This window comes from Homo sapiens, chromosome 5 (assembly GCF_000001405.40).
Source record: "Homo sapiens chromosome 5, GRCh38.p14 Primary Assembly".
Classification (NCBI taxonomy): domain Eukaryota; kingdom Metazoa; phylum Chordata; class Mammalia; order Primates; family Hominidae; genus Homo; species Homo sapiens.
In genome coordinates, this window is record NC_000005.10 from 16517727 (window position 1) to 16542949 (window position 25223).

General features: G+C 45.2%; 1 protein-coding gene across 3 annotated transcripts in view, besides 1 other annotated feature; it reads right to left on the minus strand.

Moving 5' to 3' along the window:
* RETREG1 (reticulophagy regulator 1) overlaps positions 1 to 25223 on the minus strand; it is a 143945-nt gene that overhangs the window by 44674 nt on the left and 74048 nt on the right. Inside the window, exon 1 of one of the 3 annotated variants that reach the window (XM_011514055.4) lies at positions 24575 to 25148. The exons of the other annotated variants lie outside the window; for them this stretch is intronic. Within the exon in view, the coding sequence (XP_011512357.1) occupies positions 24575 to 24633 (59 nt within the window). The 5' untranslated portion in view covers positions 24634 to 25148. Of the gene's footprint in view, positions 1 to 24574; positions 25149 to 25223 lie in introns of those variants that run through there. 3 annotated transcript variants of the gene reach the window in all.
* Positions 17680 to 18181: an enhancer, noted in NCBI's record as "H3K4me1 hESC enhancer chr5:16535515-16536016 (GRCh37/hg19 assembly coordinates)". NCBI's record gives its function as "activates a minimal SCP1, AML or CMV promoter by ChIP-STARR-seq in naive H9 embryonic stem cells {active_cell/tissue: H9 hESC(naive)}" and the evidence as "EXISTENCE:reporter gene assay evidence [ECO:0000049][PMID:30033119]".

Consider the following 25223-nt stretch of genomic DNA (forward strand, 5'->3'; position numbering starts at 1 on the left):
AAATATATTGTGCAACTACAAATTACATGCATATACATTTATAATGTACATATATTACTTGTAAACATATTATGGACTTCACAAATCACACACACAAAATTTAAAATGTAGAGATAAAATAAATATAAGCATTCTTTGCAACAGCCAATAAATGAAAACAACCTAGAGGTCTATCAGTAAGAGGTTAAATTGTATGATTCAATGAAATCCTATGCTGCCATTAAAAAGGATGACATTGTTAGGAAAGTCTTTCCCTAATATAGTTAGTAAAAGAGAGAGAGAAAGAATAGAAATCAAAATATATAATATCTCATTCATGTGAAATATACATTTATGTATTTATATATTTATCTACATACTATGTATATTTATATATAATCAATGTATTTACATATAATTGTATATATTTATATATAATCAATATATGTATTTATATATAATCAATATGTAAATATAGTGATTATATATAAATGTAATATATGTAAATATATTGACTATATATTTATATATTATATAAGTATATTATGGATTTATATACTGATTTATATATTTATATATACACTTATATATTGATGAACATATCTGGAAAGATATGTACAAAGAAGGAAAGGCAAACTAGAAGGACAAGGCGAGGAGGAGGAGGGGGAGAGGATGGGTGAAGGGAAGGGAGGAGAGGAGAAAAAGAGAAAGAAAAAGTGTTCAAGGACCTACACTATGGTTTTCTTCTGTGGCTTAGGGAAATAATGAGTATTTTCCATCTTATCCTTTTGCCTGTTTTTTTCTTTTTTATTTTCAGCAACAAATTACTCTTATGGTAAGAAAAAAATAGTTTTTAAAATATAAAAAGAAAAAAGATTACTTTTAAATGAAAAGGGGGTTGTAAGGAGACTTTCCAGGGTTCCCTGTCCCTACAGGAAAGAAATACCCACTCACTTGGGACACAGGCCTTCAGGAGCACCTCTCCAGTCAGCCTCTACAGCTTCAGGATTTTTGCTCAAGTCAGAGCACAGAGTCCCTGCCTTTGAGAAGCTGACTGTTTCGTAAAAGACATGTGTTGGCTGAAAGAATACAAGAAAGAAAATTGAAGCAAACCCTCCACCCACTGACTCAAGAGTCTAAGAATTTCCCATCTTCACCCTTCCATAGCCCACAAAGACTTCCAATGTCACCAATACAGAATTTGTTGCCCGTGAAAATTCAGAGAATGTATTATGCACTTTGCCAAAGAGAAATAAGGGTATGGAACTAGTATCAAACCCAGGATATTTCTGGAACAAAGTGGAAGAGGATATTTTTCTCCTTAGATCAAACTGACCAAAAAGAAAACACCCAAACAAACAAAAATCAAAGGATCAAATGAGCATCTATACACGTGTTGTAAATGATGCCATCGATAATGACAATCTGACGAATGATGACTATGTGCACCCCGCTGCTGAGGAAGAGATGGTACCCCCTCTCTCTCGCTGCGTGGTGGGTGGAATCACACTGAGACTTGTCCTAGATCAGCGGCTTTCAAAGCAATACAAACTTTTTTCTCCAAAATACTATGTTATAGCAAATCTTAATAAGTAAAAGATACAACAACCAAACCAACAAGAGTTCCCCAGGTTTAAATGGGGGCAGGTCACTGACACATGGTATCAATCCCTGCAAAGATTGCCCCTGACTCAGGTCCTTGGAAACCCAGAGTTGCTCAGGATACAGTTGTAAGCAGTGTCCTGCCTCATCTGGACAGCCAGCAGGAGAAAGCAGAACCTTTTTCTCAGCCTCTTCTCATAATAATTAGATCAGACTTAACCCAGTTACCCTTTTATCTTTCTCTTTTTGAGCTTAGTACATGGAGTGTTTTCCTCAAAGCTCCTTTCAGCCCAAAATAACCAGGACACTCAAACCAACACCCTGAGCCTCTGAAGCTTCCCTGCCCCTGAGCTCTCCTGTGGACCGCCTCCATTCTTGTTGTGGAAGTATCACTGTAGTCACCATATTTCCCAGTCTAACGCAGACACTGCCCAGTTGCACCTCTTGTGCTGGTATAACTATTAACAGGCCCCCTCTCCGTGCCTGGATAGGCCACAAATTGTAAGGTCACGCAACATATCACTATTTTCTTATCCTGAATAGTCAGAACTTCCATTTTGTTCATTTGTTTGTTATGGTCTCAGCTGGGACCAACAGCTGGAACCACGTCTTTGTCATGGACCATCACTTTGGCCAGCGAGAGCTTCTCACCCCTTTCCTGTCCAGTCCGTGCCACCCCTACCGCCTGACCCTGTTATGGGTTGGACTGTGCCTCCCAAAAGGGTATGTTGAGGCCAAGCTACCTGGAAAGCATGGCCTGGACAGAGCGGACTGCAGCCATCCAAGGGCTGCTGGGGGACAGGCCAGCCCGGTGGGAGAGAAGGCCAGGAGAGCAGGACATGGACTTGCAAAAGTCATGATGGGGAGGGGGTGAGGAAAGACAGAAACACGGGCGAAGAGTCAGAGCCTGCAAGGGTGGTGTCCTGCCCCAGCCCTATTTTGTCATGCTCATCTCTATGGTGATAGGCTTAATGTCCTTTCTAATCAATAGTTTTTTGGGGGTTTTGTGGTTTTTTTTTTGTTGTTGTTGTTGTTTTTTGAGACAGAGTCTTGCTCTTGTCACCCAGGCTGGAGTGCATTGGCATGATCTCGGCTCACTGCAACCTCCGTCTCCCGCGTTCAAGCGATTCTCCTGCCTCAGCCTCCCGAGTAGCGGGGATTACAGGCACCCATCACCACACTCGGCTAATTTTTGTATTTTTAGTAGAGACAGGGTTTCTCCATGTTGGCCAGGCTGGTCTGGAACTCCTGACCTTGTGATCCTCCTGCCCCAGCCTCCCAAAGTGCTGGGATTACAGGCGTTAGCCACCGCGCCCAGCCAATAGTTTTTTTAAGAAAAGTTCATTGACTGCTGCTATTAGGATGGTGCAAATGTAATTGTGGTTTTTGCAGTTAAAATTAATTAAATTAATTTAAAATAATTTTTAAGTTGCGCTATTTAGTGGTTGATGACCATTTGAAAACATGATGCAAAGTGTAAAGTCTGTGAGAAACAATTTGCCCCTCACTGGTGGCTTCACTCCAGGAAGGGTGAGGTAATGGCAGGTGGGAAAGAGGAGCAGGAGGTGGCAGGGAATTCAGAGGACAGGAGTAGCCTCTGGAAACACGGAGAGGGACAGGGGGCAGTTTGGTGACAGCTTAGGAAGGCCAGAGAAATAACTGCAGGAAACAGGGCAGGGCTCAGACCTCACGCCTCACCCAGGGCCACTGACTTGTTCTGCGTTGAGTCCTGTGTTTACTGAGTCTCCTTTCATTGCACTGAACATGGTCTTTATAAATTCTGGTTTGTGACTCCCTCTCAGAAGTCCTGTGGGTCACCTGGAACTGGTTTTATTCCTGCTTATTTCCTCATTCCTCTTCTCATTAAAACATAATCGCTATGCCTCTGATATGAAGCCACTTTCTTTTGCTATCTCTCTTCCTTCCCATTCTTCTCCCCTCCCATCCTACCTCCCAAATCCCTCAGAACTTCTCTAAAACCCTATGCCCCACAGTTTAAACACTTGTAAAAACCAAATTCCCTAGGGGGTTAGTATTGCCGCTGGTTCAAGCTGCCCTCCACAGAACTCCCCTGTTCCTGAAGGATGTTCCTGCATGCTTTCCTATTTAAAGCTCTCTTCTAAGGTGATACGGCTTGTGCATTTCAGGGGCAAAGTTCCTTGACAGAGAATCTTTGGTTCTGAGAAATTTAGAACAAATCATCATAGCAGCAAAAGAGCTCTGGCTCAAGTCTCACTGCTCTTAGCAAACGTAAGGAAGTGGAAATTTTCAAAGTCCACACACCATAGAGACAGAGGTCTTTGTGGATAGTAGAGACAGGAGTGAATCAACAAGGTTGGCCCTCAGCTCAAAACAAACCTTATCTCCTGAGTTGAAAAGCACAATGCAACACAGGAGCAATTACATATAACCTTCTGTTTAACTATGGGTTCTGTTACACGTCGATCTTCCTTATTGCACTCTGCTGATGTCAGGTTTAAAGGATTTCAGTCCTTAAATAGCAACTGATAAGATGTTTCTTGGTTATCCATTTACCCAGTAGTTTTTGGAGAAGCCAAATTGAAAGGGAGACTTTGCAGCTTGCAGCTCTGGAAGTAAATCATTATTTCCATATTCGCTTTGGGGTGTGGGACAGGGGACCAGAGCACCTCCACTGGGCACTCTTTGCCACGTACCATCTGACGGCCTTGCGGTCTTGGCTGCATGAGCTTCACCTGCTGACCCAGCCTTGAAGGGGGATGAGAGATTGCCTCAGACACTGAAAGGACTTCTCCTCCAAGCAATGGGGCTTGGGAAATGTGTTTCTGGACCACCACCCTGTGGTATCTAGGCATTTTCCAAGAGGAACCAGCTCCTGGAGAAGCATTTGCTACAAGAAAAGCTGAGCAACACCCTGATCTTGATATGTGGAAAAAAAAAAAAGGCCTTGATTTATGAGATCTCAGAACTGCTTCTTAGGAAGGGCGGATTCCTCCAGTAATCTAATGGGCTTTCATTTCCTCATTGCCTCAGTCGCTGTCTGGAGATAAACTATGTGTTTGAGAGGCACAGTTTATCACATGTCCTCTCAGAAACATGGGGTTATCTCCTTCAGGCCACCTCAGGATTCCAAATGATGTAGCAACTTGAAGGTGTCCAGTAAGTGGCTTCACTTCTATCGGGGTATGAGCAAAACACCTTCAATGACTAGAAAAAGTCATGAGCTTTAAAAATAGAGTAAAACAAACCCAAAACTTGAATCTTAAAGACTCTGAGAAGAGAAACTGGATCCAGTAAGACTTTCATGGTGTTAATCCCCAATCTCCTGTCTCCACGATAATTCCTCATGAGGGGTTTCCTCCAGCATCCAGCCCCCTCTTCTATGGACATACACAAACTTGTTTTATTTTAATAACTTTTTTTGAAATAATATTGGGGCCGGGTGCAGTGGCTCATGTCTGTAATCCCAACAGTTTGAGAGGCTAAGGTGGGAGGATCGCTTGAGCCCAGAAGTTCAAGACCAGCCTGGGCAACATAGTGGGACCTTATCTCTTCAAAAATTTTAAAAAGTTAGCTGAGCATGGTAGCACAAGCCTGTAGTCCCAGCTATTCAGGAGGCTGATGGGGGAGGATCACCTGCACTCAGGAAGTTGAGGTTACAGTGAGCTGTGACTGCGCCACTACACTCCAGCCTGGGCAATGCTGTCTCCAAAAGAAAAAAGAAGAAGAAAGAAAAGAAAGAAAGAGATAGAGAGAGAGAGAGAGGGAAGAAGGGAGGGAAAGAAAGAAACAACAGTGGATTTACAGAAGAGTTACAAAGAGAGCTCCTGATCTCTCTCACCCAGTTTTCCCCCTGTTAATATTTTACATTACCATGGCGCATTTGTAGAAACTACAACCCATCGGTACGACACTATGAACTAAATTCCGGACTTGGCTTGTACTTTGCTAGGTTTTTGTTTTGTTTTGTTTTTTTCTTCATCCCTTCCAGGATACCCAGATACCCTCCCAGGCACCACGCCACATTCAATCTTGGTATCAGCTTGGTCTCTTGTGGTCTATGAGAATGGCCTGGACTTTCCTCAGTTATCATGACCTTGACAGATCTGAGGAGTGTTTTGTAGAGATGCGTCAGTTTGGAGTTGTCTGATGTTTTTCTCGTCATTAGGCTGAGATTTTGGGTTGGGGGGAGAGTCCATGAGGTGAAGCGCCCCTCTCCTCACATCATATTTCGGGGCTCACGATGTCCAAATGGCATATCACTGGTGTCGTTAACTTGATCACTTGGATAAAGTAGCTTGCCAAATTTGCAACTGTAGTTATTATTTTTCCCTTTCCATCCTCTATTCTTTGAAAGCAAGTCACTAAATCCAATCCACGCTCAAAGAGGGAGGGAGTGTGGCACAAGGGACAGGACTCTAACTCCTGAATGGGGGAGTATCAACGTACAGTATTTGGTGGCTTGCAAGGAAGACCTGCCTCTCCCCTCCCCCCAATTTATTAATACTTATTTGTCCAATCATTTATTTCCATCAGTGAAGACTCGTGTGTTTTCACATACTTTGGGCGGTAATCCAGTGCTCTGTGATTTTGATGTTCACGTTTGTTTCAGCCACAAACTTGTTCTTGCCTCCCCTTTCTGTTGATTCCTCCTCCAACCCCAGGCGATTTGAAGGAGCCACCTCTCTGCCTCAGCGCCCCTCTCTGCCCTCTCAGCAGGGCTCCCCTCAACTGGTCCAACCCTGCCCCGCCTTCCATCTGAGCTCAGCCTTAACCACAGAGCAATCAGTTCCCTCAAAGATGATGGCACTTCCTTCCCACCCAGCATCAGCCCCAGCCAACAGGCAACACCAGCAATGAACCCAGAGTCTGAGCTGAGCCGACCAGTCAGGCAACATCTGTGCCCCAGAGTGCATCTCCACCAACACGCGTGAGACAAGGCGACACATGTGCTCCTGGATGCTGTGACTGTCTCCACTGCAGTGAGCCGTGTGAACCATTTCCAATGTACTCCCATGAAAGCCATGAACAACAGCCTACCATTTCCCCCTTCACTTTGGTAAAATCTCCGAAACTTAAACCACATCCAGATTTCCTTTCCATGTGTGCCACTAGTCCTTACCTTTCATGTTTCTTTCCTATTTCAAGTACTAGAGGAAGTCCAAGGTTTAAAATAGAAAGGGGACTTGGCTTCTTTACATCCATCTACTTTCAGCATCAAACCATGGCAACGTCATACACACAATTCATCATAAATTTTCATGGTGGATTCACGCTGCCAGACGCTGCTTTCGGCCTGCTTATTTATAACCAAGGAGAATTTGTTTCTATCAAATGTGGTTTTATATTATTTTTAACAGGACAATGAAATCACAAGTTGTGTTGAACACTGTAGAGGGCAGTGGCTGTTTGACACTCCTGCTACTCCAGCTTCTGTGTCCTTCCCAAGCAGTTAAAATCTAAACATCATCCCAATCCTAAAAGTTAAGTGAAGAGGAAGGGACGTGCTGTGTCAGAAGCCGTATGAGAGGCCAGGAAACAACATGTGCTTGCACACCCCTGCAGGTGGATGTGCGCGGGGGACACCGTGCTGACCTGCGTCCTCCGGCTCCTGCAGGTGGATGTGCGCGGGGGACACTGTGCTGACCTGCGTCCTCCAGCCCCTGCAGGTGGATGTGCATAGGGGACACTGTGATGACCTGTGTCCTCCGGTTCCTGCAGGTGGATGTGCGTGGGGGACACTGTGATGACCTGTGTCCTCCGGCTCCTGCAGGTGGATGTGCGCGGGGGACACTGTGCTGACCTGCATCCTCCAGCCCCTGCAGGTGGATGTGCGTGGGGGACACTGTGATGACCTGTGTCCTCCGGCTCCTGCAGGTGGATGTGCATAGGGGACACTGTGCTGACATGTGTCCTCTGGCCCCTGCAGGTGGATTTGCGAGGGGGACACTGTGCTGACCTGCATCCTCTGGCCCCAACAGGTGGATGTGCGCGGGGGGACACTGTGCTGATTTGCGTCCTCCAGCCCCAACAGGTGGATGTGCGCGGGTAACACTGTGCTGATCTGCGTCCTTCGAGATGCTCAAGCCCCTTTCTCCCTTCCCCCCCGCCACGAAAGTGCAGCTGACCTCATGTGAGGAGATGGACAGGGAGGCCCTACCAACAATGGGAAACAACTGTTCCTAGGTTCTTCACAGTGAATGAAGTTACACACCCCAAAGGCACCAGCAAGGCTCCTCTTGAGCAAGTCAGCTGGGAAACAGGCTTAATCGGATGAGATGGCGTCTTCCTCTGCCCAGGATGGAAGTCCTGGGCCCACATTACAGATCCCCAGACAAACATAGCAGCAATTTAAGCAAAACTAGGGGATCAATTTAAGCAAAACTGGGGGATAGAGACTCGGCAGCACTGAATTCCTAGGTCTATTAGTCAGGGTTCTTTGGGAAAAGATAACCAATAGGCTGTGTATATATATACACAGAGAGGGAGAGAGAGATTGATTTTAAGGAAATGGCTCATGTGACTATGAGGGCCTGAAGTCTGCACGGTAGGCCAACGGGCTGAAAATTCCATCTTGTGGATGTAAAGAAGCAGAAGTTGTCATTTTGAGTCTGAGGGAAGTCTGCAGACAGAATTCCTTCCTCTTCAAGGGACCTGGGTCCTTGCTCTTAAGGCCTTCAATTAATTGGATGAGGCTCATTCACACTGCGGAAGATAATCTGCCCTACTCAAAGTGCTCTGACTTAACCACATTGATCACATCTGAAAAATACCTTTGCATCTACACTGGTGTGTGACCAAATAACGAGGCACCATTGCCTGGGCAAGTTGACATGAATTTAACCACCACACTAGAGAGCTCTCCCGATGCCCATGGAGGGCCATTGCTGTGGGTATCAAATGGCTCAGGGAGATTCTGTAGAGAAATATTTTGTTTCCAAGAAAAATCAATCAGTCTTGATCCACAGGCATGCCACTGAGCAGATAAGAAAATCTCGAGTCTCATTTGTTCATTCATCACATGCTTACTGGGAGCGTATTCTGTGCAATCATGTAGCTAACATGTAGCTAACAAGTCACAGGACCAGTGTCAACTGCCTTAGTTACAAGCCAGGGCTAAAGCAGGAATGAGGCTTTGAGACCCTATTCCCAGAGGCTCCCCCCAAGCATTACATGGGAAAAGGTGGACTCAAAAAGAGATGTTTCAGGAATAACTATAAAGACCCTTAGTCAGGAGTGAAACTGGCATATTCCAGAAGTAGGGTCTGGAACTTAATAAGGTAGTAGCATAATTAAGAAGACAGTGACAGAAGGAGATGAGTCAGGCCCAAGGTTTTAATTTTGTTTAACAAATACATGTCAGTTACTGTGAGTCCGACACTGTTCTAACATTTCTACATATCTTAATCCATTATAATCATCAATATCAGAATATTAGAAATATTCAATATTTCTAATTCTATTTCTAATTGAATATTAGAAAGGGACTGTTATCACCCCCGTGGTGGTTCTGTGATGCACACCGCCAGGTCCCCCTTACGGAATGAAGGGCTTACTCCTCCAGCTGCAGGAGTGCTGCAGAGGATGCCACACAGCTGTTAGTCCTTTTTGGGTACCATCTTTGCTACAGACAACTAACACTCACAGTGTCTCACTTCCTCCTAGGGTGAGCCAATGACTGATCAGCACAGGGGTGCGAAAGACTGGCCTCCTCGTGGCAATTTGGGACAACTCTGCAAGGTGTGGGCTGAGGCCTTTGTTGCGCCTGCATCACAGCTCAGCTTCTCCCTCATCCAGTGCTGCTTCCTTTACCTTCCCCCGCCAGGTGATGATTCCAAGAGCATCCCCTGTTAAATTTGTCGACCTCAGAATTTGCTTCCTGGAAAACCTTAGAGATGGGGTCAAAGCACCTAAGTCACTTGGCCAAAATCACAGAGCTTGTAAATTGGGGAACTGGGATTTGAACCTAGGCCATCTGGCTCCAGGGTGGAGCTCTAAACCACCAAGTCAGCCTGCTCCTCCGGGCAGGGCTTTACAGTGCTGTGTGCAATTGAAATTTCACCTTATACATCTGAACACAAGGCAAAGTTTTCCTTCACTTTACCTAAAGTTATCTCTCAGAAACAGGATGTAGCCATGTGTTTGTGATCTTACAAAATACCAGGGCTATACATTCTATCTATTTTGAATTTAGAAGTTCTGGGGAAGGAAGAATGGCTGAAATGGCATTAATGCTAGTTTGGAGCATTTTAGATGTCATAGAAGTTGCCTGATAGAATTGATAAAAATCATAATAATAACAAGAATAATCAAAAAGAGAAGAAGAAGAAAGTTTATTACACATCTCATAATTCTTTCTGGGGGTGTGACCTCACAGTTGAAAAGGCTAAGTGTCATTGTAAATAGCCTTGCAAAAGTTTCTTCAAAAAGTTTTAATAATATAGTAAGTGGTTGTGTGATGAAGACTGATCAAAATAGCTGTCCATAGCTTAGTACAATTTCGAGGGACTCTAATTTTTTTTTTTTTTTTTTTTTTTTTTTGAGATGCAGTCTCGCTCCGTCGCCCAGATTGGACTGCAGTGGCACGATCTCGGCTCACTGCAAGCTCCGCCTCCTGGGTTCATGCCATTCTCCAGCCTCAGCCTCCCGAGTAGCTGGGACTACAGACACCCGCCACCACACCCAGCTAATTTTTTGTATTTTTAGTACAGACGGGGTTTCACCGTCTTAGCCAGGATGGCCTCAATCTCTTGACCTCGTGATCCGCCTGCCTCGGCCTCCCAAAATGCTGGGATTACAGGCGTGAGCCACCGCGCCCGGCCAGGGACTCTTATTTTTAAACACGCTTTATCACAGCTTAGTAGTGAAGACAACGTGTTCCGGAAAATGTGTTAGATTCAAAAAGTGGCCTTAGTGTCAATAAACCTGGCATAAAGAGAAAGTAGGAAAAGCAGCATTTTGAAATTAACATATTATGTAAATAAGATGTGATTTTTACATATATTAACATAACTAAATTAACAGTGATTTTACAGAGATTACAATTCACATGAGTAAAAAAAATATGACTCTTTAAATTTATATTCCTGGAAGCCTATATTGACAAGCTTTACCTGGACCTTGGCAATGAAAAGGGGACGGTCACCCCAGGTTCAAGGTCACCTTGTGATGGATATATATTCCACCTGCCTGGGACAGGAGTCAGCTCTGGATGACATGGAGGCCAGTCTCTTCAGGAGCAAAAGAAAGATTAGGGGGCCAAGGAGGAGTGAGACCTGTCCCAGGTGATAGCAGGGGGTTCTGAGACACATCTGGAGACAAAGCCAAGAGGGTTTCCCAGCAGGTGGGATATGTGCAAGAAGGGACAAGGTAAAGTTATATGTAACTTTGATCCACTCACGTGAACACTATGCCTCCTTCAAAGCACCTGTCTGAAGAACATCTGATGGCATGAACTGCTTGACATATTAAAACGGGGATGGAGAAACGTTTCTATAAAGGGCTAGACAGGAACTATGTTCAGCTTTGTGGGCCATACAGTGCCTGCCACAATACTCAATCCTACCATTGTGGCATCAAAGCAGCCACAGGCAGTAAGCAGACAGATGAGCGTGGGCCATAATTTGCCAACTGCTGTATTTACATACCCTCACCCACACGTACACGCACCATACAAGTTATAAAAGAATATGTTACATATTTTGAAATTGAGTAAAACAAACAAACAAAATCTGGAAGAAACTATATACCCCAAGAGTAACAATGATTATCTCTATGATTCTCACTTTAGGTATTTTCAAAAATTCCCCCACCTATGTGTTCCCTTTTATAATCAAATAAAACCTACAAATAAAAAATAAAGTATGGGGTTCTACCTTCCAAAATCTACAAATGCAAATAAAGTCTGGGATTCTGTGTCTTGGCGCCTATCATAGATCACACATTTTTACTTAAGACTATTTAATATAAAATACTTATTATAAAAGGTCATCAGTAAATCATTTCTAAATCAGTAGTTGACCAAAAAATAAGTTATAGTTTATTTCCTAGACCTGGCGAGTGTCTGTGTGAGGAATGGGGAACGTTGTTTTTTACCGCATTGGCTAAGTTTCTGGAAAAGATTGCATCTTGAATTAGCAGCTTGACTGTTTGCTGTCCAGGTAAATATTGTGTTGCTAGGACTGAAATTGCCCTGCCACATGGGTCGCCCTGTCATATAATTAGCTTCTTATCATATCAGGTGCAAATCAAACCAGCAGCACTTGCTGTTAATGTGGTAATTTAACAAATCAGAAACACTGTTTTCATATGTCAACATCTGATTTTATATGATCACTGTCCCACCGAAGACACACCGGGGTGACTTTGCGTCACTGTTCAACAGCAAGCTTAGCCTTACTTGAGTTCTTAGCTATATCCGCTGGTTTGGTTAATTTTTTTACATCCTTAATTGCACCAGTGCGTGTTTTTCAGTCCAACCCAGAGTGGAATGGGGGTAGAAAGTGAAATTTCACCCTAGGTGCCCTTTTGGTACATAAGTACCACGCTCAGGCTTTCCCATTTGGGTTCATCCTGCACAGTGGTCATCAGACTAGTTTTCTTCTCTGTTTCAATGAGCAGCAATTCAAGTCCAAGCAGAGCCTGATGTAGCTTGACCTGCTTCCAAAGAGCAGCACCCTTTACTCTCCACATCACTGAAGAATGGTTCTCCCAACCCCGGGAGGCCAGACCACATCACAGCTCCATTTCCCCGCTCTTCACTCTTATGCCTGCTCCTCCCTTCCCAGATGCTTATCCCAATAAACGCCTTGCATGCTCATCTCCATCTCATAGTCCACTTTCGGGGAACCTAACCTGGCTATAGGCCTCTTGTCTGTTTCCAAGTTGTATTCACTTCTCCATGTGATTGTAACTCTTTGCCTGAAGAGCCAACCACTAAAGGGCAATGTTTCTGGTGTCAAGTCCTCTCACTATGCTGGGCACATACTTGTGCTCCCAGGGGCATTTCTGCCAAGCGACCCCTGGTGCCAGCCTGCCTGGGTGCTCATGCTGGCTCTACCACCTACTGGCTGTTCAATCTCAGGCAAGTTACTTAACCTCTCTGTGCTTGTTTCCTGATCAGTAAAAGTGAGATAATAATTATATATTATATAGTGGTTGTGGAGATTTAATATATCTGTAAATGTGTATAAAGTGGCTTAAATAGATGATCTGATGAGAAAGTAATCATATGCAAAACACTGAGACCAGTGCTTGGCATGCTGACCATCTTACTCAAGTGTCTGCTTTTTAAAAACACCTGAGGGCCGGGCACAGTGACTCACGCCTGTAATCCCAGCACTTTGGGAGGCCGAGATGAGTGGATCACCTGAGATCAGGAGTTCGAGACCAGCCTCGCCAACGTGGCAAAACCCTGTCTAGACTAAAAATACAAAAATTAGCTGGGTGTGGAGGCGTGCACTTGTAATCCCAGCTACTCGGGAGGCTGAGGTAGAAGAATTGCCTGAACCCAGGAGGCGGAGGTTGCAGTGGCCCACTGCACTCCAGCCTGGGAGACAAAGCAAGACTCCGTCTCAAAAAAAAAAAAACTCCAAAATAAGATTTAATCACACATTTTCCTTGTTGCTTTCTGCAGTTATAATGATCTTTCCTTTCTCTGACTCATCAGAATTTCAACATAAGGAAGAAATGGATGAATGAAAAAGGGGAGAATAAGGAAGGAGGAAGGGAGGTAGACAGGAAACATTTCTTAGATCTCCTATTCATTCATTTTAATCCCTCACTACTTCTGGCCAGTTCATCCCTTGATGAAAGATAACAGCAGTAGCTAAGGTGTGCTTACTATTTACCCAGTCATTTGTGTTACTGTTTTATATAATCTTTATAATGTCTTAAAGAAAGTATTCTTATCCTATAGCACAGATAAAAGGACTGAGGTTGGGAGAGGCAAAGTAGAAACCTTGCCCAAGGTTACAGAGCTCATAAATGGCTGAGCCAGGGCTATGTTTTTCTTCTCTCGAATCATCCATGGCTCACAGCACAGTTCTAGACTCATCATAGATGCTTATTAATGACATAGTTTGGTGAAATGACCGATGCATTTAACAACTGTTTACTGTTGCCAATTGCAGGCCAGGCGTCAGGAGGGTAAAGATTAGAAATGGTCCCTGTAGTCACCAAGCTTAAGTCTGGCGGAGAACACAGATAAATCAACAAGCAATGACAGAGCAATGTGATGCAGGCTATTATGAGGGGGAAAGTACAGAGTGAGACAGAAATCCACAGAATGAGCACAGGAGACAGCCTTGGAGGTCTGGGGGGTGGCAGAAAAGGCCTCCCAGGGAAGGGGTGCCTCTGTTAAGTTAAAGGATACCTTGGGCTTGGAAGGGAGGAAAATTCCAGGCAGAAGCAAGACACGCGTGGCACATCTGAGGACCTGAGAAGGGGGTGGCTAGACAGAGCAGAGTGGAGCAGGAGGCTTTGCTCACCAAGCATCAAACAGGAGATTCCTTTAACAAATTAGCCTGTGACCATCACTGAGTTTGGCTGCTCTTTCTCAACACAAGCAGTGAGCAAACTAATTTTGCTCCGTGTATCCTGACTCTAATTGCAAGGTTCCTTTACACCAGTATGAGTTGGGAGAGCATCCCTGAGCATGGCCTTACCCATACAGGGCTGTGTCCACCCTGTTAAGGTGCAGACATTGCTGGAATAGAGAAAATGGAAATGGACCCATTATCTCCTTGGCCTTGGAAACCTTCCTTAACTGACAGACACAGGAAGGTACACTTTGAGATTAAACAATAGTTCCTGATATCCAGTGGAGACCCAATGACATCACATCTTAGTAGCCTCTTTGCCACTCAAGTATTTTAAGGATAAGGGTATGATATGCAGTTTTCTAGAACATCAGAAGTCTCATTGTAACTCAGCTGCTAGCGTTCAAAAAGTTTTCCTGGGCTGGGCGTGGTGGCTCATGCCTGTAATCCCAGCACTTTGGGAGGCTGAAGTGGGCAGATCACGAGGTCAGGAGTTCGAGACCAGCCTGACCAACATGGTGAAACCCTGTCTCTACTAAAAATGCAAACATTTGCTGGGCATGGTGGCACGCACCTGTAATCCCAGCTACTCGGGAAGCTGAGGCAGGAGAATCGCTTGAACCCTGGGAGGCGGAGGTTGTAGTGAGCCGAGATTGCACCACTGCACTTGAGCTAACATTGTGTTAGCTCTCCATGCAGACAATAACGGGAAAAATTAAGGCAATTACCTAGATGTCACTTTTTATTTTGCCAAAGTGTGCCCCTATTATCTGCATATTTGTGAAGAAACTTTCACAATTTATCTGTACATGTCAGATAATTGTGTGAATTCTTCACAGGAAGTTAAAGTCTAAGTGAGCACAGTGTAAGTCAGTCTTGGGAAAGCAAGCTAGGTTCCTTCATTGTTTATTAGTATCTTTGTTTTATAAACTATTCCAATTCCTGTAACATAGCTCATGTAAAATACTATGGTGAAATGTAAAAGAATAACAACAACTTTGAAGACAGATAATTTAGAATTATTTCAACCCACAGATAAATTGCAAATCCCAACACAGATGCAAACATGAATTTATATAATATGCTACCTGAATTCATTACATGTGACACTTCAGAAAGATCTGAAGAAAACCCTAGGTAAATGCTCTACTTGGGTTCTAGGTTTTAGAGTTGAATGGAATTTGCAAAGGACTAAAATGCATACTTTAGCAGTTGATAATATGAACTTTTTTTTTTTTTGAGACGGAGTCTCTCTCTCGCCCAGGCTGGAGTGCAGTGGCGCTACCTAGGCTCACTGCAAGCTCCGCCTCCCGGGTTCACGCCATTCTCCTGCCTCAGCCTCCTGAGTAGCTGGAACTACAGGCACCCGCCACCACACCCAGCTAATTTTTTGTATTTTAGTAGAGACAGGGTTTCACTGTGTTAGCCAGGATGGTCTTGATCTCCTGACCTCGTGATCCACCCGCCTCGGCCTCCCAAAGTGCTGGGATTACAGGCGTGAGCCACCACGCCCGGCTGATAATATGAACTTAAAACTCTTAATGATTTAAAATTCTCCTAACTGCTTAGACCAAGAGCCTAATGACCACCCCCATCCTTCTCCATCTCCCAGGAGAAATGCCATATTTTAAGTAGGAAGGAAATATGTCCAAAGGCAGACCAACCTAGTAGTCTCCTGGCTTAACCCTTCATCAAGGGATGCTCAGGAATGAAGAAGAACTTTCTGTGGTAACCAACAGAGGTCCCAAAGGGAGCCCCAAGGTGATTATGGTGAGAATTCACACCCCCATGGGTTCTAGAGCTTGAGTGACCCACAGTACCCACAAGGGTTCCTGGTGGCAAATAAGACTGACTCTGGCTGGTTCAAGCAGAAAAGGAATTCACAAAAGCATAGCCCACATTGCCTCCAGAACACAAATGGGTCATAAATGTTACCCAAATCACACCACAGAACTTATCTACCAGAAAGACCAGTAGAAGTACCTGGTGCAGCCCCAGATGGCTGGGCAGCCTAGAGCCTTCACCACTGCTATTTTGGAAAGTGGATGTATCGACCACCGTCCTCGCCAGAATAGATCACTTTAAGCCTGCTTCTATCATCGCCAGCTTCTAATGCAAAGTCTGGTGAGAATGCATGTGGTTGGTGGAGTGTGAGGTCTGGAGCCTACACCCCAGCTTCCAGGGAGCTCAGCTTCTACTTTGGAAAGGCACAGACTTATAAGTCGGAAAATTCTCCTTCATTAGAAAGTCCCTCGAGAGGTCTGAGAAACCAAAAAAAAAAAACACATTTTCCCTACATCCACAATTTACAATAATGAACATTTCACCAAGCAAAAAAACTTGGCCGGGCATGGTGGCTCACACCTGTAATCCCAGCATTTTGGGAGGCCAAGTTGGGAGCTATCATCATGCCACTACACTCCAGCCTGGGTGATAGAGTGAGACCCTGTCACTAAAAAACAAACAACGAACCAACCTAGCATCAGTGTATGTTCAGAGTAGCTAAGGCTTTGACTGTTTGAACTGTATTGTCAACATGTGCTCTAAGAACTGAGATGCAAGGTACCCATCCCACTGCCTGGAGCAGTGTGTACCAGCCAGACAGGGTGCTCCCAAGGTTATCATCCTGAAGTGCAGAGGGCTCCACACTCATCCAGCCTTGCTGGGGAGTGGGGACATATAGAGTGGGTAGAGAGGAGAGATTACCATGCTTATTTCAGCTGACATTATCAAGGCCAAGGCAATCATGTGATAATGTGTGAATGAATCAGAAGGGGTAGCCCAGATATTTCTGTACTCATATCAACATTCACACTTCAATCCCAGCCAGCTGCCATGTTCCTTTTCTGAGTTTTCACTAGCCACTTTCCAAGGGAGACTCATCACCTTTATTTTATTAATCTGCTAAGAAGAGAAGCCCCCCTCAGAATTATACTTAGTACCTGGGATTGCTTCCTTGACAGTATATCCCTGCCAAACTTCTGAAAGGAAAGGTCTCTGCTGCCATTTTTCTTCTTCTGTAAATAATGATCTCTTTAATAGAAACTAAATCACTCATTCATTCATCGGGCATTTTTACTGAGCATTTATTAAGTGCCAGGCACAGAGGTAAGCCCTGGAGGTCCAGGGATAGATAAGAGAAACATGCTGTCTGCCTCATGGAGCTTCCAGAGTGGTAGAGAAGCTGGACATTAAACAAGTGAAGACACAAATCCATACTTAAAGACACATTTTGCTAAGAGCAATGAGAAGCTGCTATGAGAAGCTGGAATTCTAATAAATTAGATTTCAAACCAGAATGCTTATGTCACTTTTTTTTCTTCTCTCTCTCAAAGATATTTATATTTTATACTGTATATTTTATAAACGTACAGATTTTCCGTCCGCTCGCTCCCAGGCTGTTCAGTTGGGGTCAATCCTTGCAAGCTCTGAGTGCGCTCATTGATTTCCAGGATACCACATGTGAAGAGAGCCCTTCATGAAGTGGGAGTTGGAGTTCCTGTGTGCACGCTGCCTTCACAAAGTGGGAGCTGGAGCTCCTGCGTGCATGGGGCCTTCGCAAAGTAGGAGCTGGAGTACTGCATGCATGCTCCCTTCACAAAGTGGGAGCTGGAATTCCTCCATGCGTGCGCCTTTGCAGAGTGGGAGCTGGGGTTCCTGCATGCACGCTGCCTTCACAGAGTGGGAGCTGGAATTCCTGCGTGCATGCTGCCTTCGCAGAGTGGGAGCTGGAGCTACTGTGTGCATGCTGCCTTCACAAAGTGGGAGCTGGGGTTCCTGTGTACACGCTGCCTTCACGAAGTGGGAGCTGGGGTTCCTGTGTGCACGCTGCCTTCACAAAGTGGGAGCTGGGGTTCCTGTGTGCACGCTGCCTTCACAAAGTGGGAGCTGGGGTTCCTGTGTGCACGCTGCCTTCACAAAGTGGGAGCTGGGGTTCCTGTGTGCACGCTGCCTTCACGAAGTGGGAGCTGGGGTTCCTGTGTGCACGCTGCCTTCACGAAGTGGGAGCTGGGGTTCCTGTGTGCACGCTGCCTTCAGGAAGTGGGAGCTGGGGTTCCTGTGTGCACGCTGCCTTCACAAAGTGGGAGCTGGGGTTCCTGTGTACACATTGCCTTCACAAAGTGGGAGCTGGGGTTCCTGTGTGCACGCTGCCTTCACGAAGTGGGAGCTGGGGTTCCTGCATGCACACTGCCTTCACAAAGTGGGAGCTGGAGCTACTGTGTGCACGCTGCCTTGGGCTGACATGCACCTGCCTGATCTAATCTCACACAGTAACAGAGAAAGCAAGAGTCTGACCAGTCCTTTTATCTCCTTGGGAAAACACCTCTATCCCACCCCAAGAAGGAAGAGATAAACTCCCACCTACTTCACTTCTCTGGCTTGGCATGAACCATCCAAATGCTAGGACTGACCAGAATTTCCAGGCCAGCTTTTACAAAGAAAGAACGCTGCCTCTTCCTAGAGGTGGCCTTGAAAGCAGGAAGCCCACACTGATTCATTCCCAGAGAGAAGCTCTCACAAAAATGCTCTGAAGCTGGACGGTGTTGATAAAAACCCAAACTTTACGTCTGTGAATATGAGGAATCTGATCAGTCACAGCAGCAAGGAGAGTGACAGGACCATTAGTCAGCAAAAGCAGATCACCTCACCAAGCAGGAATCGCCAGCCTGGTTCACCCCTGGACCCTGACATGCCAACACGTCAACACACTCTAACTCCTCGCCCAAGGAGCCACCAAGAGACACCAGGACACAGGACAAACATGCCTCTCCCATTTCATTTTCTCAACATGCTGACATTTATTCCCTCATCCCATCCAACAGGAAATACTAACTCCACAGATGTGTCAGATTGTTTCAAATGGAAAAATCACAAATTATCATGGAGTGGGAACATTTTTTGCCAAAAGACTGAAAATCAGTGCAAGGTGTCAATGGCGCCAAAGTCAACGGATGCCTGAGATCTCAGACTCTTGTCTTGCAGGAGCATTCTGGCAGATTAAAAGGATGTTTTTCCAACATGAATTTGCTTGGGAGCTGCCAGAGATGAGTTCTCTGAGTGGGGAAGACATACTCCAAGGCCAAGGGTGGCCCTTCACCATGCCTCATGTCAACATAGTCCCAGGATGTCAAGAGCTCCCATCGTCAGAGAGTTCACACAAAAGGTCCAGTGTCAGCTGACTTCCCTTCTCTACTCTTCCCCTGACCAGTCCATGCCAATCCCACCCTGCCTGCCTCCTCCCTGACCAAGACGAGGGTCTGTGTACATCAGCTATGCGATCAAAGAGCTGCTCTGTTCTTGGAACCCTGACCAAGGGCCAGGCCCTGCACCAAGCACATAATAGGTTTCTGTATGTTTAATCCACACTGCGACCTCCCAATTAAATTGAATTTTTCATGTATTAAAAGTGGAGAAATGAGGCTTTGAGGGTAACTTGCCCCAGGCCAGGTACCTGTTTAGAAAGACAACTGGGTTGAAACCGCAGGCGTGAGGCTCAGAGCCGACCCTGAGAACAACTCCTCTCCACTGCCTGGAAATTCCGCGGAGGCTCAGCACAGCTACCAGCTGCAAACATCTGCAGCAGCTAAAAGCCAGGGCACTGGGAGTGTGTGTATGGTGTGTGGATTTGGCCACAATTCCAACAAAGGTGTTAAGTTCTTTAAAGGAAAGGATGCCAGTCTGGCCAACATGGCGAAACCTTGTCTCTACTAAAAATACAAAAATTAGCTGGGTGTGATGGTGCGCCCCTGTAATCCCAGCTACTTGGGAGACTGAGGCACAAGAATCGCTTGAAGCCAGGAGGCAGAAGTTGCAGTAAGCCTAGTTCGTACCACTGCACTCCAGCCTGGGGACAGAGCAAGACTCTGTCCCCACCCAAAACAAAGCAAAGGATGAAGTGAGGTATGGATGTTGGGGTGGCAGGAGAAAGAGGGTCAGCACCATGCAGCATGCAGCATGCAGCATGCAGCACAGCACCATTCTCAGACGCAGTGCTCTTCACCCACAGGCGAACAGTGGCATCCCTGCCTGGGACCAGTCTCACCCTGCATGCAGGGTCCATGGCTTTGGGAGTGAATATCAGGCAAAGAAAGCCCACTTGATACAGGAATTCTCAGCTCTCCAGTATAGTCACAGAATCACAGTTTTAGAGGCGGAAGGAACTTAGGATCAGCTTAGCTCAGTCCCTTCATTTTACTGTGGCCTGCAGAAGAGAAATGATGTCTGCAAGGTCAAACACTGAAGTCAAGCAGGGTTCCCAACCAGACCAAGACTTCCAGAGCTGCAGTGCAGCCCTCAGTCTTGGAAGAGACTCCGAAATCTGACTCCCCACCGGACCCCACCTGCCACAGCTAAATCTGGGAGCAGATGGCGCCTGGCTCCGACTCTGAAGACCAAGCCGGTCGACATCAGGGGGAAAAATGAAGAGCTGGCTTTGGACAAAAGGCGCCCGTGATGTGACTGCTCTAGGCAGCTGCAGGATTAGTCCTTGCTCCTGGCTCCCCTTGGAGTCTTGTTTTTAGTGTGGAAGTAGCTTCAAATTGGGGGCTCTTTGACTTCTCAAACAAAATGAAGATAACAGATAATAATGATGATCGCTAAAGTGAACGGAATGCAGCCCACGTGTCAGAGACTGCATTAAATGCTACACATTCATGATCTCATTTAATCCTCCCCAAAGCTCTGCACGATACTTCTATTACTACACCCATTTTAAAGATGAGCGCAGGAAGGCACAGAGATCCGAACTCAAGTCTGCCTTAACCACGATGTCCCTGCCTCTCAGTGCAACCACAGACCTACCAAGACACCATGTACCTTTCCAGTGGGGTCACAGACATAACCTTAGCATCAAGAAGAACAAATACATTCTTTCATTCTTTTTTTTTTTTTTTAATTGAGACGGAGTCTCGCTCTGTCGCCCAGGCTGGAGTGCAGTGGCACGATCTCGGCTCACTGCAAGCTCCGCCTCCTGGGTTCACGCCATTCTCCTACCTCAGCCTCCCGAGTGGCTGGGACTACAGGCGCCTGCCACAATGCCCGGCTAATTTTTTGTATTTTTAGTAGAAACGGGGTTTCAACATGTTAGCCAGGATGGTCTCGATCTCCTGACCTCATGATCTGCCCACCTGGGCCTCCCAGAGTGCTGGGATAAACACATTCTTATTCAAAATAAAACTGAGGCTAGGCTGTCGGAATCTGTTAGACTCACTCTGCATTCCAAGATTTTTCAGGTGACTGAAGTCATCTCTCCAGACATAAAGCCCAGACATCAGTATAAGGCACCTCTAAGAGCTCTGCCTTGAGACCATTTCCCTGTGAAGGGCCAGAGTGTTCCATTTCCAAATGGGGAGGTACATCCATAAAGGGGGCCACCCGAGGGAGGAAGAAGGGCCTGCCTTTATGGCCTGTTCAGATGAGCCTGGAGGAAATAAACAAGTTATTTTGCTTCTCCACTCATGTGCTCTGACCCGAAGCCAGCAGGGAAAGTCCTTAGAATTCAGTGACTAATCAGATGATGGGCCATGAAACACACCCCTGAATGTCATCAGAGTCCAGGCATTTGCACCGGGAATCCAGAAATAAGCTGTCACCAGAGGGACGTGTGCCCTCTGGAAATAATTTCCAGAACATGTTTCATAATCCCGGGCCCGGTCGGTCGGAGCGAGCCAGGAGACAAGGAAAGGTCAAAATACAGCCGCTGATCCCAACTTGCCCAGCCTCATCTCCTCCTGCTCGGCACTCTCCTCCCGCCCAGCTCCCTGCACAAGCTGTCCCATGCTTGCTCCTGCAACTGAGCCTCCCAGTCCTTTCCAATCAACCACCAGGAAAGCCAACTGTCCCGGTACCGGGGCCCTGATGTGACTTCACTATTGCTAAGGGCAGAACTCACACCTCTGTCAGGAGACGCTGTCATCACTTCCTCGACTTGCCTTGAACGTGTTTTGAGAAACTGTCAAAAATTAATGAGTAGTTTATTCACCAGATGTTTAGATGTCAAATAATGCTGGGACTTAATTCTGCACTTATCAAATATAACTGAATTGAATGACATGTTTTAAAATAACTTTTCTTTTTAAATATTGCCTTGGTGTAGAAAATGGAAATGACATTTTTAAGTGAACAGATAAGAATTCCTCCTGAAGGATGCGCATGTTAAAATAATCCTCTAAAATATAAAGCTTACTATGATTTTATTTATATTCTTGAGTGCTTTCTGGTTAGGACAAAGGGTTTGGCTACTGATAGGAATACAGACACTCAGTGAGTAGATTTATCAAAAGCAGTACTTTTGGAACCCTTTTTGATGGAGATCTAGGAATCCAAAGTGAATTTCTTAATCCAAGCCTGGATCCCCCCGCTAAAAACTACCAATAAAACAGGCTTTTATACAGCAGTTTGTATTTCCTATGGCAATGATCTCTATCCTATTGATGCAGTTGAAGGACTTGTAAATTGCCTAACAGCAAATAAATTATCCTTATTAGCCTTGTTTATTGAGCAGAATCATTGATCAAGTCAATAACTGATAAAGCAATGAGTGGGCTAATGTCACACAGGAATACCCACCTTCGGCAAATACAGGGCAGGGCTAAGTAACGGATTCCTTTCCACCATGAATTCAGTTATTACAGAAAGGATCTTAAAAACTGAGAATCTCAAACTCTCTGATTCTGGAAATTCACACACATACCAGTGAATGATTCACTTCACCACTGTAAGAAAATCAAATCTGGGAAAGATGCAGACTTGGTAATGAGTAATTGGGAATGAACAGATGATTATATAAAAGGGACAGGAAGGAGCAAGAGAACACTGTGTCTATTCCATCCTAACACGGGTGCTGGGCACTCCACATGCATTAGCTCACCCATCCCCAGAAGAACCAAACAGGAAACAACAGGTCTTCCTCACACCAGCCACAGGCCTCCCAAGGACCTGAGCACTGAAGGCAACAAGAAGAGGAGATGCGAGACATGTCATGAAGACATGTTCAGTGGCTGGCTAATTTCTCCCATGCATCTTTTCCACTATGTCTATGTTAACCATGGGGACCGGGGAGTAGAATTGTTGTCTAATGGGTTATTCAGGCCAAGTAGACGGGGAAAAGCATGGATTCAGTCAACTGACAGGTAAACAAGTACTTATTACGCACCAGCACCATCACTATGCTTGAGATTCCAGAAGGAATCCCACCTTGGTCGCTGCACTGCCCCAGACCTTACTCATTTCAGAAGATACAACAAATAATCACACTTTCTGTCATATTTAATTTGTACTATGGTCTGAATGTTTGTGTCCCTCCAAAATTCATATGTTAGAACTGAATATCCAGTGTGATAGGACCAAAAGACAGGGTCTTTGGGGAAATGATTCAATCATGAGGGCAGAACTCACAACTGACTGTCAGTGCCTTGATCTTGGATTTCCCAGCCTCCAGAACAGTGAGCAATAAATTTCCATTGTTTGTAAATTACCCAGTCTAAGGTATTTTGTTACTGCAGCCCAAATGGACCAAGACAATTCACTAAAACGAACTGCCTCGATTTCACATTTGACTTTGCTCTTAGAAATACAGATAGAAGATAGGTGCGGTGGCTCACGCCTGTAATCTCAGCACTTTGAGAGGCAGAGGCGGCGGATCTCAAGGTCAGGAGTTCGAGACCAGCCTGGCCAATATGGTGAAACCCTGTCTCTACTAAAAATACAAAAATTAGCTGGGCATGGTGGCAGGCACCTGTAACCCCAGCTACTCAGGAGGCTGAGGCAGGAGAATCCCTTGAACCCAGGAGGCAAAGGTTGCAGTGAGCCAAGATCATGCCACTGAACTCTAGCCTGGGCAACAAAGTGAGACTCCATCAGAAAGTAAGAAGAAAAGAAAAGAGAAGAAAAGAGAAGAGAAGAGAGGGAGGGAGGGAAGGAAGGAAGGAAGGAAGGAAGGAAGGAAGGAAGGAAGGAAGGAAGGAAGGAAGGAAAGGAAGGAAGGGGAAGGTAGGTCAGATAGAAAGAAATAACATCCAGGTTTAAAAATAAAAACTAATCTCTACATCTATGGTTGAAACAACTAAACAAGAGGTTTTAGTCTTGTTTCCTAAGAGAAATTACACAGGAGGCAATAATGTGATTATTTTATTAATAGCTGTGTTCAGGGGCCACTATGTTCTAAGGCTGAGGGCAGAAAGGCATGGAGTCTGAAAAATAACCTTATTTTGGTAGATGTGATAAAGAATAAACTGTCTACATTTAAAGCAGGAAAGTTGGTGAGTTTTGAAAGATGTTTACACTCTTAAAATCACCACAACTAAGATGCAGAACATTTCCAACAGCCACTGTAAATACACCCACTCACCCTCCTCATCTCAGGCCCCTCTGCGGCCACAGGCCACCACTGCTCTCTCTGTCACCACGGATTCGTAAAGGCAGGAGCTTTAATGGTAGAGTTTTCTAAGGAAAAACAAACAAAAACAATACCTCACCTGACTTCTGCCTGAAGGCTTCTCAGCTGAGGGGAGGTTACAGCATGTATGTGTGTCATTTGCTCATCGGTATACAACAGTAGCAGGTGACAGGGCTTTTGAAAAACGGAAGACAGTCATAGACTGTCAATAGACGATAGTCAATAGAACCTGTTTTCCTCCAACCAACGATAGTCAATAGAACCTGTTTTCCTCCAACCAACCACCTACTGCAGTCTCTGTTTTTATGACATACAAACAACGCAGCCCAGAGCCATTCCCTAAGTAAACACAGCTCATAATCCAGGTCTACACTTGTCCATCTGTGTACTAGGAATCTATAAGGCATCTTCAAAGAAAAATTAAATAAATAAATGTAATACATTACTCTCAAAAGTCAAAGGGGATGTCTCAGCAATGTGAAAGGATGTCAGAACTAGCTCTGGAATTAGCTGCAGACAGTTCCATGAAACTCCTACTGACTTCTTAACAGAACAGCCACTACCTCTACGGTGCTTTCATTCATGTATTAGTGCTCATCGCTGGATCTGCTTTATTGATGTATAACTGACCTACAATAAACTGCGCATAAGTTTTAACGTTTGATAACTTTTGACAGAGCTATACAGCCATGAATCCAGCACCAAAATCAACATAATCAATACCACCA